Source organism: Homo sapiens, chromosome 1, assembly GCF_000001405.40.
Source record: "Homo sapiens chromosome 1, GRCh38.p14 Primary Assembly".
Taxonomy (NCBI): domain Eukaryota; kingdom Metazoa; phylum Chordata; class Mammalia; order Primates; family Hominidae; genus Homo; species Homo sapiens.
This window is the reverse complement of record NC_000001.11, coordinates 30,403,069-30,418,823: the sequence shown is the minus strand read 5'-3', so window position 1 is coordinate 30,418,823 and position 15,755 is coordinate 30,403,069. Positions and strand designations below refer to the sequence as shown.

The 15,755-nt window shown below is 54.0% G+C and overlaps 2 annotated features.

Moving 5' to 3' along the window:
* Positions 5,539 to 6,038: an enhancer, noted in NCBI's record as "H3K4me1 hESC enhancer chr1:30885633-30886132 (GRCh37/hg19 assembly coordinates)". NCBI's record gives its function as "activates a minimal SCP1, AML or CMV promoter by ChIP-STARR-seq in naive H9 embryonic stem cells {active_cell/tissue: H9 hESC(naive)}" and the evidence as "EXISTENCE:reporter gene assay evidence [ECO:0000049][PMID:30033119]".
* Positions 6,039 to 6,540: an enhancer, noted in NCBI's record as "H3K4me1 hESC enhancer chr1:30885131-30885632 (GRCh37/hg19 assembly coordinates)". NCBI's record gives its function as "activates a minimal SCP1, AML or CMV promoter by ChIP-STARR-seq in naive H9 embryonic stem cells {active_cell/tissue: H9 hESC(naive)}" and the evidence as "EXISTENCE:reporter gene assay evidence [ECO:0000049][PMID:30033119]".

Sequence of the window (15,755 nt, the reverse complement as noted above, 5' to 3'; positions counted from 1 at the left end):
CTGCAAATGTGAAATGAGTTGCTTCTTCTGGGGGTCCCCCTGGCACCTTATTCCCACCACCATTTTGCAGCACCATATGGTCAGGTTTTCTTATTGCACCCCCTCCACCCGCAAAACACACAGAGTTTGCCAGTTCCTTGAAGGCTTCGTCTGGACAAGTCTTAATTAATTTCTCTGTTCTCAGCCTCCAGGTACTGCCTGGTTTAGAGCAAGAGCTCAATAAATATTTGTTGAATTAATGAAAATGTTTGTGTTGAAACATGACTTCAGTGAAGTTGTTTGCATTTTAACAAATGACAAGGCCCCAAGCCATAGGACCGGAGCTCCAGTGGTGGAACTCCAGGCACCAGTAAGCTAGAGACAGAAGCTTTCTCCATTCTTTAGTGCCTGGGGGAGGAACTGGCTGTCTTGGCAGGTGGAATTTTCCATTCATGACTTTCTAGCGCAAAAACAGTCACATTATCTCCTGAAAAACACTAATGTGCGGCGGAAACAAATGCGTTTCCCCTTCAGCTTGCTGGTGGGAGGAAAATTCTTAGCCCTGTTGGATTTCCCTGCGCTGGTTCCAGTTGACAGAACGTTCCTTTCTCACATGCCCATGGTAATGTCTTGGCTGGCTCTCCCTCCATCCCCACTCCCTGACCCCACAGCCTCTGGGCCCCACCTGCCAACCCAGCTCTGCCTGGCTGGGGAGGCTCCCATGTTAATTGGGAGTTGAAAGGAGGCTTGTTCTGCAGTTCAGACATTTCCACATCAAAACCACTGGCCTGGCTGCTTCTCCCCACCTGACCTGGGGCCCATCCTGACCATTTGTGACCTCCCTGGCCCTTCAGCTGAGCCCACCTCATGCCCCAGCTCTGCACACTGAGCACTCTCTCTGCCCTCAAGCTCATCCCCTCCAGCCCACCCTCCGGTCCACCCCAGAATGCCCCTCAGCAGCACAAAGCTGGCTGGTTCCCTCCCAGCTGGAAACCCTTCCCAGGCTCCCAGTGCCCTCAGCTCACAGCCCGTGCAGAGGCACAGACATCAGCCAGGTGCAAACCAGCCACCAGAGGGAAGAGCATGTGCAAAGGCCCTGAGGCTATAGCGGGCTTCACTTGCTTGAGGAACAGCAGGAAGTCAGTATGGCTGTAGGTTGGTGAGTAGCGAAGAGGAAGGGGGACAAGGTCAGAGGGGACAGACATGGGAGGGGCTTGTGGGCCATGCCAGCAGATTTGGATTTTCCTTTGAGTAAGACCGGAAGCTGGGGAGGGCTGGGAGCTGAGAGGAATGGGATGTGCTTTACCTGTTTACAGGTTTCCTCAGGCCTCTGGGAGGCCCATGACTGGGGAGGGCAGGTCCACGTGGAAGCTGGAGGATGGTCAGGAGCCTGGACTTAGCTGTTTCTGCCTGTGGGCCCCTGACCTCACCTCCTCCAGGTATGGGGACCTTCCTCATTCTGTTGACCCACCTCACAGGATTCAGCCCCTACTCCTGAGCCCACTCTGGCCAGGCCCCTACATCCTCCCCAGCCGTGAGCCGACTCTCCAGAACCTCGTGTCTGCCTTATCTTCTTGCTGCCCAGTCCTGGGTTCTCCTTTCCTGACCACAGTCACAGGGCTCCTGAGGCCACCCCCAATACCCAGCTTTCTGGAGCCTCTTATTTGCCTGTGGGCCTAAGAACCCATAGCCACCGGCCAGATCTATCCTCCAATCTCTGCCCCAACTACGCGGGGGTGCCCGGCCCTGAAGTAGCCTGTGAGGGGTGGAAAGATTCAGAGCCTGTGTTTGAATCTGGCCCTGCCACACACTTGCGGTGTGATGTTAGTTAAGTCTAAACCTTTCTAGGTAGCAGTTTCCTTGTCTGTAAAATGGAGAGAACAATACCTACTCCAGGAGAGGTCCTGAGGATGCAACCTCACATACGGGGGCTCCTGGCAGCTCCTGGCCCCCAGCAGACTTTGCACTCACTTTGGTTCCTGTTCTGCTACCTCCTTCCTGGAAGATAAGAAGGGAAGCTCCTTCCCTCAGGTGACCCAGGAAGTCAAGGGGTCTGGATCTGTCCCTGTCTCCCAGAGCAGCGCTCTGGCCATGACAAACTGCTCTGTGCCTCAGTTTCCTCAATTATAAAATGGGAATAATAATCGTGCCCCCCTCCTCCAGTTGATGATGTGGGGACCCACTAGGTTGATCCACATGGAGCACTCAGGACAGTGCCTGGCATACTGTGACCACTCAACCACTGTGAACCGAGGCTCGAGTGTGGCCCCTGTCCCCTCCTGCTCCCCATCTTCCCCACAGTCTTTGAACATCCGGTAGAATTTAACAGCTCAAAGTGCCTCCAAGTGTCAAATTCAACACCCATATTTGGCATGTGGGAAACTGAGGCCCAGGGCAGGGAAGGATCAGCCCAAGGCTGGAGTAGGAGGCAGAGGTGGGACTGGACTTTCTGCCCACAGGTCCTTCTGTTGCCTCCTTTGGGGCACTCTGTGGGGCAAAGCTCGGCTGAGAGGAAGGATTCAAGGATTGAGGCTATTGCAATTATTGTTATTGTTATATCTACAGAAATGACAGCAGATCCCACTGAGAGCCAAGGGCCAAATGGGAGACAGAAAACTCAAGTGTAGGGGGCTCAGAGGAGCTGCTCCCCAAGAGGAGAGAGTGATTCCTGCCCAGGCACTGTCCTTGCCAACTCTCCCCAATGCTTTCCCTTTTTGCCAGCTTATTAATGCAGCTTTCACCCCAATAAACATAAGCGTGGCCTCGCTCACTCTGAACCCTCTGCTAGGCTGAGGGAAGTCCCAGATCCTGTCACCACAGATACCACTGAGTGAGGATCAAATAGAGGGTGTCAGGCATGGCACAACCCCTCACCCACACCATCTCATCCAGTCCTCCCACCCCACAGGGCAGGAAGGTGCAAAGCCCATTTTAGAGATGAGGCAACTGAGTTCCAGGGAGGATACGTCACCTGACCAAGCTCTGTGAAGCAGAAAGTCTCCCTGAGGAGGGAGCTGAGGCTGGGAGGTCCAGGAGCTCACCCAAGGCCAGCCAGCAAGGAAGGAGGGAGCTGGGACCCTAACACTCCATGCTTCTGACCTCAGAGCTGCAGTTTTGAATCCAGGCCCAACCCCCACCTCATCCAGTAGAGGCTGAGCCTCCTCCAGCCCTGATTCCACCCTGATCCCCTTGGTCAGGGCTGGCTGTTGGGAAAGGTTGAGCTTACAGGGAGTCTTTCGTAATTACAAATCAGATGACATCACCCTTGGCGAAGGGTCTTAGGTGTTATTGAGGGGACTCCAGCCTTGTCTGCTGAGGCAGCCTCATGACCACACACCAGCACCTGGCTAACTGCAGCCCAGGGTAACCCAGAGCCCCCGGGAGGATGCTGGTTCTCACGGGGAGCTGGAGCTGCATGGTCTCTTCAGGCCTCACTACTGCCCCTGTGGGGTGCACAGTGGGCTCCACTTTACTCCGCAGAGGCTCTCAGAGGTGAAGAGAGGCCCAAGCTCACTCAGCTGGGGAAGAGCAGAGTCATGGTAGGGCTGCCTGGGCCCAGAGCCCCAAGCCAGCCCCTCTGAGCTCTCATCCGGGGCAAGGCAGCAAGGTGGACACACATGTCTGCAGCCATGCCTGCTGCTCCCAGCTCTCCAGTACCCAGATGGCTCAGCAGCGATTGTTTCATTACTTAAGTCATATCCAGTAATTATTGCTCCTTTGGCTGGACTTTGAGAAATGATCTTAGCCACTGAGGTGGAAGGTGAATGAGGAATTGCTGGAGAAGAAGGAAAAGGGATCATCTTGATGTAAGTCGAGCTGGCTCAGGATGCAGAGAAAGACCTGAGGTCAGAGAGGTCGGCCAGGGGTCCAGGGCAGCGGGCTTCCAGCCCAGAGACTCCATCACTGACTCCTGTATGACTGGGGCAGGCCCATGACCCTCCCTGAGTCTTGACTCTCTCTAAGACACTCCATACCCCCAGCCTCATCAGCCCTTCTCCCACAATATTGGCCATCACAAGACCTAGAGCAGACCCAGCCGTTCATGACTGGATGTGTGGCCTCCCAGGTCCCAGCCTGTAGAGTCTCTGTGGAGGCTGCAGGGTTGGCTCCAGGCTATGAGGTGGGAGATTTGGGCTGAGGTCCCTGGACAGGCAGATGCGGAGCTTAGAAGACAGAACGGGGCCTGAACAAGATAGGAGCCAACAGCTATTGAACTTGGGCTTGCAGGGCTGAGGTGGGGGACACAAAACCGACCTGAGTCTTAATATGCAAATGAGTTCCATAACTGGACTCCTGTTGACTTGGGGAGCTGTGCAAAGCCACGCCCTTGGAGAGGCTTCCTGCTTTCTGATGGAGTCACTCCCTGCACTTCCAGCCACATCTTCCCTTGATGATCCTACCAAAGGCCACTCCTCTCTGCTTCCCAAAGGTGTCCTGGGCCCCACTTCCTGGCTGTTCTTCCTGCTGCCTCCTCCATTTGGAATGCCCTTCCCTCCATCTGGAATGCCCGTAGGACGACCTACAACCCATGTCCCCACACTGCTGTCTGTTGAAACACCACGTATATGGAAAGTCCTGCTCACAACAGACCTTTCCCTGACCCCTGCCCAGGTCCCGCAGCCACATGTCGCCTCTGCCTCCTATGCTCCAACCACACAGAGGACAGAGATAAAATTCTCCTGGGGTAGCACACAGGGCTGGCTGCAGACATGCACGCCCACAAACCGGGCCCTGCCACAGCAGGCTCGCGGTCAGAGCCAAGATAAAGGCCCCTCTGCCTTGGAAGCTGTGATTCTATGAATTTTGAAGTGGAACGCATAGTGCTTGTCAAACCCCAAGCAGGCCCGTGTAGGGAGCTGAAGGCTCTATGTGGTTGGAGGCAGTGAGGGGGTCTCTGCAGGAGTGGAAAGAGTGTGGAGGTGAAGCCAGGCGGACAGGGTTTGCACCTGGCCTCACACTGCCTGGCTGCGTGGCCTGGGGCCAGTCTCCTCCCATCTCTGAGTCTGTCTCCTCATCTGTGGGATGAGGGTGGTGATGCCCACTGACCCGACGGTTGCCTGACCCTCACTAAGGTGCTCAATCAGTGTGAAACTGATCGTCCCCGAGGACCGTTGCTTATGTGTTACTTGGGTGCCCACGATATTTCTGGCATGCGGTCATGTGTGAACCTACCCCAGCCCTTTTGAAGCCACACAGAACAGGACAACCCGGTTGCCACTGGGGCCTCAGGAGGCTCCGTCTCAACATGGTAGACAATGGGAAGAAACAGTCCAGCAGCCAAAAATAACCTGGAGAGGAATTTCTGCTTTTATTTCCCTCTTTCAAGGAAAATTAAGGGTTTATAGCCCTTAATATCTGGCTTATAGCCCCTGTAGCATTTCCTGAAGTCCCCACTTCTCAGAAGGGAAAGCTGCAGAGCCCTTCACGAAGCCACATCTGCAAACTATTCCCTGATGAGGAGCTTGCTGGCTCTTTCCTCTGCCTCCTCCCCTCTTCGCCAGCTTCTCCTGCTCCCTCCCCAATCTTCTTCATTATACAGATTAGTTTATCTTTCCAGATCCTCTCCACTCTCGCCTCTCCTGATTCCGCAGTCCCCACGACTTTGGAGCCATCTCACAAAGATAATGTTCCCCTTTGAGGGCAGGAGAAGGGAAGAAGCGAGGTGGGCTGAGATAAAATTCTCCTGGGGTAGCACACAGGGCTGGCTGCAGACATGCACGCCCACAAACCGGGCCCTGCCACAGCAGGCTCGCGGTCAGAGCCAAGATAAAGGCCCCTCTGCCTTGGATGCTGTGATTCTATGAATTTTGAAGTGGAACTTTTGGTGCTTGTCAAACCCCAAGCAGGCCCAGGTGGGGAGCTGAAGCCTCTGTGTGGTTGGAGGCAGTGAGGGAGTCTGGGACCTAGAGAGACTGGCCAAGGAGGAGGGGCCTCCCCTTCCCCACCTAGGCCCCTTCACCAGGGCACACTGCAAGGCACCCATGTCTGTGCCAAGGTCTGTGCTGGACACTAGAGGTCTGAGTGAAGTGACTAGGACCTTGCCCCACTCACCCAGCCCCTGCCAGCTTCTGCCTCCACTCCTGCACGTGGCATGGGCTCCTGCAGTTCCGCTGAGCTCTGGAGGTGCCCTGGTCTGGGAGACAGAGATGGGGTGCACAAGCAGAAGCGGTGCTTGGAGACAGAGCTACAGTTCCATTCAAAGCAAAACAATGCCACTGCACTGTGATGACTGGTATGAGTCACTGTGATGCCTCCGAGCTGAGCCTCAGTGTTGTCACCTGACACTGACTGTGAGGAGTAAATGAGACAGTGCAGAAAGAGGACAGAACCCCATGAACCCAGCTGTGAGGCTCTGTCACCTTCTCCAGCCACGCCTCCCTAAGGAGCCCTGCTCTTCTGTGCACATCAGCGAACACCAGCACCACGGCTGGTCCCTCAGGGCAGGGCATGGAGGCCTCGCCTGCCTCTCCTCACAGGTCTTGGCTCACTGGTAGTAATGTAAGGAGCCACAAAGAACAGGGTGACCAAGTCATCCTCGTGGCCTGGGACTTCTCTGGTTTCAGCGCTGGAAGTGCCTCATACCAAGAATGCACTCGGTCCCTGCCAACTGGAAATGGTTGGTTACTTTACTAAGGGACAGAGTTGACCAGAGTAGGGTCTGGGCTCAAGCAGATGGGGAATTCAGGGAGCATTCAGAATTGAGGCCTCCCTCAGACTCCTCCACCGTCCAGGTGAGAGGGCACAGGTGGGAGTTTACCTGATTACCACACGGGGCCAAGGCAGGGCTGACAGACCCAGCCAGGTCTGCACGCTTCTCTGAGTATCCCAGCTTGAAACAGTGAAAGGAGCAGGTACTTACAGACAGAGCCACAACTCAATTCAAAGCAAAGCAATTCCACCACATTGTAATGACTCCATGGTTTACACACTCACTCGGTAGATTTCATGCTGCAAATGAATTCTTTTTAAAAAGCTGTATCTTTTCAGGAGTTCACGACTTTTCTCAATTTATCTCCCTTAACAGATCTTCCACAAGAATGAACAAGAGATGCTCTCATTTAAAAGAAAAGAAACAGAAAAGGTTATCAGCTAGTAGAGAGGAAATTCTGCTCTTAACATAATGTAGCTTAAAAGAAAATGCTGCATTTTGTCAAAGAGTCAGCGATGAGCCTCTTATCACATATTTGCTCATAAAGGCAGAAAGGAAGAATGCTAGCATGCCAGTGTCCCATCGTTAACGGGTGGAGGAGAAGAGCAGGCGGAGGAGGAGAACGATTTCTATGGGATTCTCAAAGTAAATGGGCAATTTTCATGCACATGGAGAATCTACTTCTGCAGACTGAGTTCAGGCCAGACCTGCTCTGTCAAAGCCCGACAGAGAGACCCGAGATGGTGAGGGCGGGAGAGGGACAGCGGAGGACCGTGCTATGGCTTGAGTGTGTTTCCCAAAGTTCCTTGTGTTGGAAACGTAATCCCTCATGCAACAGTGTGGAGATGTGTGATCTTTCAGTGATTAATGGATGAATGTGAAATGAATTCATGTCATTATGGTGGGAGTGGGTCTACTATAAAAACAAAGTAAGCCCCTTCTTACCCTCTCTCACGCACTCTCTCACCATGTGATGCCCTATGCCACATTATGACACAGCAAAAAGGCCCTCACCTAGTGCAGCCCCTCAGTCTTGGACTCCCCAGCCTCCAGAACCATGAACCGAATAAACCTCTATTGTGGATAAATTACTCAGCCTACAATGTTCTGTTTCAGCCACAGAAAATGGCTGAAACATTTGGGATTCTGGAAGGGACAGGCAGAGCGAATGAGAGCTGTGGAAATGATAACCCCTCCATGGGTCCAGACTTCACTGTCTAAAAGGTCACTCTAGACCCCCAGCTCAGGGTGATGCCTGCTGCCTTTGATCAGGTGAGTCTTCTGTGCCGGTGTTAGACACTTCACAAAGAATAACCAAGAGTTGGAGGGCAATGCATCATTTCATGAAAGAGGAAATTGAGGCTAAGGGAGGGGGAGGAACCTGCCCGGGGTCACACATCCAGCAGGCAGTGAAGCGGGACACCAATCCCAGATGTGGGACTGTGGAGCCCACAGTCCTGACCCCTGGGGTGTCCTGACTGGGGACTGGGGAGGGAGCCCGTCTATCAGGCGCTGGGCTGAGCATGTTACCTGGTAAAGGTTATCTCACTCCCTACTGCAGTCCTGGGAGGGGGCATTCTTATCCCCACCCCTGGCTCAGAGCAGTGAGGTCACTGGCCGCCCAGGGCCATGGAATCCTGTGCTTGGAGGAGGGTCCAATTCCCTCCACTCACGCGACACCCAGGGGCTCTTCCCTGCAGAGTGGCCCCTGGGACACAGCATTTCCCGAGCACCCTGCCCCTCTCTCCTTCCTGTGCCTGCCAGCACTCAGGCTCCCACCCACCCCTCACCCTGGTGCTGCTGTCCAGCCCCCTCCTGGGCTTGCTCTGCTTCCAGGCCCCTTGCTGGGCTCACCCACCATTACTGCAGCATCTCTGCCTGGTCTGAGAGGAGTCCCTGCTGCTGGGCTGATGGGAGAGAGGCTGGTTCACTCCTTCCAGGCAGTGTGAGCTTTAACAGGTGCTCCCAGAGACAGCGCACTCCACTGCAGTGGCCACACACAGCTTAAGAGTTGGACCTGGGGTACCATGTTGTCCAGAGGCATGATGCCCTGGTCAGGGGACAGAGGTGATGGGAGAGAAAGAGTTATTTATTCTTTGTGGGCTGCCTGGGGTTGTGTCCAGCTTAGGCCTTGACTTACTGTGTGATCTTGGACAGTAACTCCCCCAGCCCCTCTTCCCTTGCTGCCCCAGACCTCTCTGACTATAAGGTTATATGGTGGGTTAACTCAAGGGCCATTCCTAGCCTCAATTCTCTGGGAGCACCTGAGCCCTGGATGAGGGGTTCCACTACATTTCTGTAATCCAGGACGGCCTGGGCCGCTGGAAGTTCAGGGAGCTCACAAGAGAGCCCGAGAGAGGCCTGAGGTCCAGGCTACCATGCTTTGGAGCTGCCAATCCCCCCTCCTTCCCACTAGAGACCTCCTGTCATTGACTGTGACTCAGCTCTGCCCTCTCCCTCCTTCCCACTAGAGCCCTCCTGTCATTGACTGTGACTCAGATCTGCCCTCTCCACTCCATCCTCAACCCCAAGAGTCTTCACACCAATCTGCACCCCAGCTCCAAGCACAAGGCATTACAAGAAGGTCCAGTGGTTCCTACTTTAGACTACACAACAAAAGAAATGAAAACCCAGCCCACCGAGGCTTGGCCCCTGTGGGGATTTCCTTCCCCTGCTCCATCAGCCAGACAAGGCACCTGCATCGTGGGTCCTTCATTCCATGTGAATGGAAACCCCGGTCCCTGGCAGAAGTATTCATGCTTTGGTTGCATTTAAATTGCTGTTCTCTGGGCCATTTTCATCCCCTTCTTTTCCAGCCTCCAGCCTCTCATTTCTGGGGCTCCCAGCCCTCCCTCTCTAATGCACCCTTTTGTGTTGCTGCAAATTGCCTTCAGTTCCATCAAAGCAGACTGCCAGCTTTCCATAAAGTCCAAATTTCCTGGCCCTGAAGGAGAGGCTGGCTCTCCACCTTCTTTCCTTCCCTCCCAGCCAGGCACCAAGCCCTCATTGTCTCAGCCACAAAGGAGGAAGAAAGAGCACCTGGGACGTGACAGGAAGGTCTCCCCTGTGGCCATAAGAGCAACTCTCCATGAAGTGCATGAACCAGCCCAGTGGGCCCACCTTCCACGCGCACCCAGGAAGAAGAATTCACATGATCATCATGAAATAACATGGGTCATAACTCATGATCATGGAGCCCTTCCTGTGGGCCGGATGCCGAGCTGGGTTCTTTCAGGCACTCTCTTAGTCCTCACCAGAACTCTGTAAAGTGGGTGCTATGACTATCCTTACTCTACAGACATTGAGGCTTAGAGAAGTAATAAGCTCCCCCCAGTGGTCGGGTGTGGTGGCTCACGCCTGTAATCTCAACACTTTGGGAGGCCGAGGTGGGCGGATCACGAGGTCAGGAGATTGAGACCATCCTGGCTAACACTGTGAAACCCCGTCTCTACTAAAAATACAAAAAATTAGCCGGGCATGGTGGTGGGCGCCTGTAGTCCCAGCTACTCGGGAGGCTGAGGCAGGAGAATGGCGTGAACCCGGGAGGCGGAGCTTGCAGTGAGCCGAGATTGTGCCACTGCACTCCAGCCTGAGCGACAGAGCAAGACTCTGTCTCAAAAAAAAAAAAAAAAGCTCCCCCCAGTTCACACAGCTAGTAAGCAGCAGAGCATGTCAGAGCCCTGCATATGCTGATGAGCGAGCCCTGTGTATATCTAGGTGTCCCCACACCAACAAGCCCTGCCCATGGGCATTGAGAATGCACTCCTGTTTCACTGATGACACAAATTCCCATGTGCAGTGATGCATGTGCCCTCGTGGACACAGGTAATCCCGGTGCCCAGGTATCCCTGATGCAGCCTGGCCAGATGGCCTTTGGATTTAATGATGGATCCCAAAACACCCTCCACTTATGCCCCACTCCAGGCCCAGGGGGCTGCTTGGTAAAATGATCATGAATGAGTGAATGAGTGCTGCGTGATCATGAATGAATGATCTGAGTGCTCCCTCCCCACATCCTGGTGGCAGCCATGGGCACTAGAAGGACCCACAGATCTCCGCTCCTTCCTCCCCTTAAACTCATTTGCCCATTTATAAGCCTCTCACACCCACTGCCTAGGCGGGGAAGCCAGCCTTCCTCAGCGACAGAGACAGTAAACCGAGGCTGTCCTGGCTGAATCAGCTCCAACGTGGGCTATCAGGCATGTGAATTATGGGCTCCCAGCACTTCATCACCCTGAGTCACTGTCTTATCTTTATTCATTCTGGCAAATTAAATTAGCACTGCCTTTCTAATCTTTTCTCCAGAGCCACAATAGTGGCAAAGAGAGAACTGGGGAGGGGGATCTTGGCAGTTATTCTGGAAAGAACACCTTGCCAATCCAAGGGGGGTGGGGGGCAAGTCACCTTGTCTGGTGCAATGTCTGATGTACTTTTGATCTCGGCTCCCTGCCTCCAAGAGGCCCACTGCCTTGTAAAATGCCAGGCAGGCAGACCTCCTGGGGATGAGGTTTGGGGCCTTCCCCAGGATGAGACAAATTTCTTTTCTTCATTTCCTTTCACCACTGAAGAGGAGTCAGCAACTCTCCTCCAACTCAGCTGACCCGGCTGCAGGAATACGATCCCATTTCATAGAGATGGATGTGGAGGCTTAGAGGTGTCAGGACAGGAGACTCACCAGAGGCAGGAGCAAGTAAGGGTCATGTGGACCCAGGACTGTCGCCCCCCCATGTGGGGGTCCCTAGTGCAGAGGCTGCATCTTGTCCCTGGTGGGCACCCTGGGGGTGCTTGAGAGGCTTTGGGTTGTGCCCACCTCCGGCCGCTCATGGCTCAGCGATTAGCTGCCTAAGTGGCTCTGGGCGTAGGCTTGATGATCAAATGCTGGGCAGGTCTCTCTCCTTCCATCAGTGCATCTGGTTCAAAGCTAAGAAAAGAGAAGTAACCTGTGCTAGGTGCAGATGGATCCCCCTCCGCCTCTGTGTCACTAAGGGCACGCGGGTGGAATGCAGAGTGCGTCTTGGCGGCTGGACTTGGGAGAATTAACTTCTCCACTCAGGGCTTACATTTCAGGCTGCTGTGAGCAGAGGCAGTTGGTGATGAAGCGGAGCGGGAGGTGGGGAGGGGAAGGTGCGAGCTCCCAGCCCTGATGCTCCAGCGTCTATGGCTTCTCTGCTTCCTCTCCCCATCGCAATTTGTGTGTATATTAATCTCTCCCTATCTTTTTTCTGTCTTGCTATCTGTGTCTTTTTTCCCTCTCTGCTCTACACTCCATTTTTCCCCACCGTCTGTCTGAATTGTATCTGTCTCCCTCCATCTCTGTCAGGGTTTGCGTCGGGGCTCTGCGTGGTGTGTGTGTGTGTGTGTGTGTGTGTGTGTGTGTGTGTTTCTCACTCCCTGGGTGGGTGCCTCCATCACACTCATTTTTAGAGCCTTTCCCAAAGGTTCTCTTTCTCGTCCATGTGTGTTCGTGTGCACACACGTGTATGTGTTTTGTGTTTTTTTTAATGTATTTTGCTGCCTCTGTTATCCTCTTGGTGTCTTGTTCTCCTTGGTTTTGTTCCCCCCTCTCTGTGTGACTCTCTCCTCTCTCCACTCTTCTCTCTCTGCAGCTGGCCTCTCTTACCCCATCCCTCTTGTGTTTGCTCCCTCTCTCCATGGTGGGCTGGCTTTTCTCTCTCCCCAGCCTCATATTTACTGCTGATATAAACAGGGAAGCCTGGGAACCTCTGATTGGATGGCCAGTTCCAAAGGAGAGTTGGTCATGGTTTGGGGCAGGCAGGGAGGGGGATCTTGGCAGTTATTCTGGAAAGAACACCTTGCCAACCCAAGGGGGGCGGGGGGTGAGTCACCTTGTCTGGTGCAATGGGAAAAAAAATCAAAGCACAAGTCCTGTACTTTCCACTTCTTGTGGGACCTTGGCCAAGTCACCAAACCTCTCTGAACAATTAATAAGATGGGGCCATTGTAAAAATGAGATGAGATGATAGGTGTAAAACAGGAAGCCTAGTGTACAGTGTGGGGTGCAAGAAATCAAGGGGTGAGTTGAGACTCAGAGGCAGCCCTGGCATTATCAAAGGTCTATGGGCTCCAGGTAGGGAGTGGGGGGAAGCTCCCCTGTCTGTCGAAGGAGAGGTGAACTCAGTGCTCCCCAGTCAGGAGTACCTGCTGATGCTGTGTGTCCTTGGGCAGGCTGCCTAACCTCTCTGAGCCTTTGTTTCTCATACAGAGAAACCTCTGAACCTCAGTTTCCCCATGTACACCTTGGGTCATGATGCTTGCCTCACGGGGCTGCTGTGAGCAGTGGATGAGATCGTGGTCTGCCATATCGGGAGCTGGGCCAGTAGCGGGTCCTGTCTGTGTTTCCAGCAGCTACCCGGCTGTGCCTGGCCCTGTCCTGCTGAGCTTCGGGCAGGTCTCTTCCTGCCTCCTGGCTCACGGAGAAGCCCCTGCTCCCCTCTCTGATGCTGAACACCCTGCCTGTTCACAGATATGCCTTGGTTTCCAGAATGACCCCTGTGGTTTGGAGGGTGGCTTAGGTTCTTGTGGTATGCAGCATAAGGTGTCATTCCTCCCATAAGTGTCTATTGGCGTGAGTTAAATGCAATGGGTTACAGGAGAAGAGAGGGCTTTATTTTAGAAAACAGGCACCTGGGGATAAAAACAAAAATGATTCTGAGGAAGGGGACGCATGCACCAGGCTCCTTCCATCCCCTACCTCAGGGCGGGGTTTCCAGTTTCCAGGGGAGAAGTGTGCAGGCCCGAAGCATTGCCATATTCAGGAGGCTCTGTGTGAGGCTCAGGACTCAGGCAGTGCTGCTTAGGGGGCCAGGTATAACCCAGGGTCAAGAGGTGGGACATTCTCCCCAGAGCAGGCCACGGATCCAGCATAGCCTGGGCCTTCTAGGGTTTTAGGATGAGCACAGTGCAGAAATTCCATGCCCAGCCCTCAGCAGAGGTGCAGGATCCAGGACACCAGCACCGGTGGCAGAGGCAGGAGGCCCTACTGATGGCCTGTTGGGGTGGGCAGTCCACAAAGAGGGCAGAGAGGATGGCTGAGGATGACACCTGAGCATGTGGGTGCCCACTATGTGTGCTTGGAGTAACTAGGGAGGTGGAGCAAGAGATGAGGATCTGCAGCATCTGGGTGGGCAGAGGTCTCTCCCCTGTTGCCAATGTGGTCCCTTTATTTTTTGCAGGCTGGGAAGGAGGATAATCTGTGCTGCCCAGAGCAGCAGGCTCTGAGGGATGCTGCGTTCTAAAAGATGCTGACAGGTGCTTCCCAAAAAAGGATTCCATGCTGAAATCTGCTTGGGTGACTGTATTAGATTTTCATCTTTCTTTTTGACTTGTTCTCTGTAACAAGCTGAATGTCTCGGGGCTTTTAGAAGCAAATGCTTCTCTTTCTGTCTCATGAGTCCATGGCCCATGGCCTAGGGTGGGGGGCTCTGCTTCAGGCTTCCGTGGGTTCTGGGGCTGCTCCTTAGGCCTGTTCTGAGCCAGCGGCTCCATGTTCTTCTCATGATCTCTCCCAGCCAAAATGTAAAGGGGGCACATGGGGAAGCAGGGGAAGCCTCCTCAGGCCCCAGCGGACAACTGGGAGCTGTTGCTTGTGTCCCATGGGTCAGCAAGAGACACGTCACAGCACCCAACATCAGAGGGACAGGGAAATGCGTTTTGCTCCACCCGGTGCTCTGCAAGGTCACATGACAGGGGGAGTGGGGAAGGAGCTGGGAGTAAAATCCCACCTGCCACCTTAACATCGCAGGCTGAGCCCCCTCTTGCAGATTCACCAGGCACCCAGGCCCCAGTGTCACCAGCGAGGGCCCCCAAGTCCTCCAAACTCCTTACCTTTAACAGCATTTAAACCAGCCTGAGCCCCTGCCCTGTGTGCTGTGGGGTGGCCGGAGGTCTCCCTAGAGTCTGCAGTTCCCTGGGGCTTCAGATTGTCGGATTCTCCTCCCTGTGGTTTCTTGATGCTGCTCAATTTTATCCCCCTGTTTCCTTGGGCTGCTGTCTCTCCACACTAAGCTCAGGGCCTGAGCTTGCAGATCCAGGCCTTTCCTCTGTCTGGCTGAACAAAGGGCCATCTATTTTGAGTTTCTACCCTTTAGTATTATAAAACACTGTTGAAAGTGGATGATTATGATTATGACTTGTTATTTTTTCCCCATACATGATAAAATTCTTTCCCTATCTGGCTGGTAAGCTAAAGAGAACACTCTAAAGATTTCTCTCCTGCCGGCTCCTCCTGCTGGAGCTGGCCCCAGGCACTGTGGAGAGTTCTCTTTCATCCCGCTGCACATGTTAGCACCTGAAAGGTGGACTTGGACAAAGCCACAGATCTTTCTTTGAATGTCTATTCCCTGCCCTCTGACCTTGGATGTGCAGGAAGAGGCATCTAGGATTTAGGGTTGTTGTGAGGCTTAAATGAGGGAAATTGTGTCAAGGCCCCTGGGCATTGGTAGGAATGCAGTCAGTGTTAGTTCCCCTCTTCTTTAGAGAATATCCTCACCTTAGGATGACCCTATAATTACTGTCCAAACCAGGACATCTGAGAGTGCAAGGCGACACTGCTGTTAACTACACTGAGGCTACAGGCAGAAACTGGGACTGTCTCAGGCCAAGTGGGACTTACGGTTGCCCTGTCTCGTCCAGACCTCAGCACAGACTCCAGCTCCTCCATTCACCCGCTCCCATCTCCGCACTGATGGCCCATGGTGACTGCATGGGGATTCCCCACAGGCTGCCTGCTGACCTTGGGACTTGATCATCAGTGGTGCCTTATACCTCTCCAGGGTAGAGTCTGCGATCAGGGCTTACATGCGGGCATGCTGTACTAACTCCAGCCTTGTGCTTCTCTGCTGGGAGCTGGTCCTTAGGTCATCTTCCTTGGCCCTTTACGACAGTTCAACTGAGGCCCCTGGGAGAGGTCCCTATCTGCAGAGCCTCCAGCCCCATACAGTAGCTGCCTACTCCAGGCCTCTCTGCAGAGCGGGCACCAGACTTCCCTGGACCAGCTGGGGTGAGGGTGGGCAGTGTAGGGACTGGAAAGAGCTGGATAGACCTGGGTGAGATCCTGCTCTGCCACTGTGTGACTTTGGGCAGATGGCCCCACCTCTCTGGGCCTCGG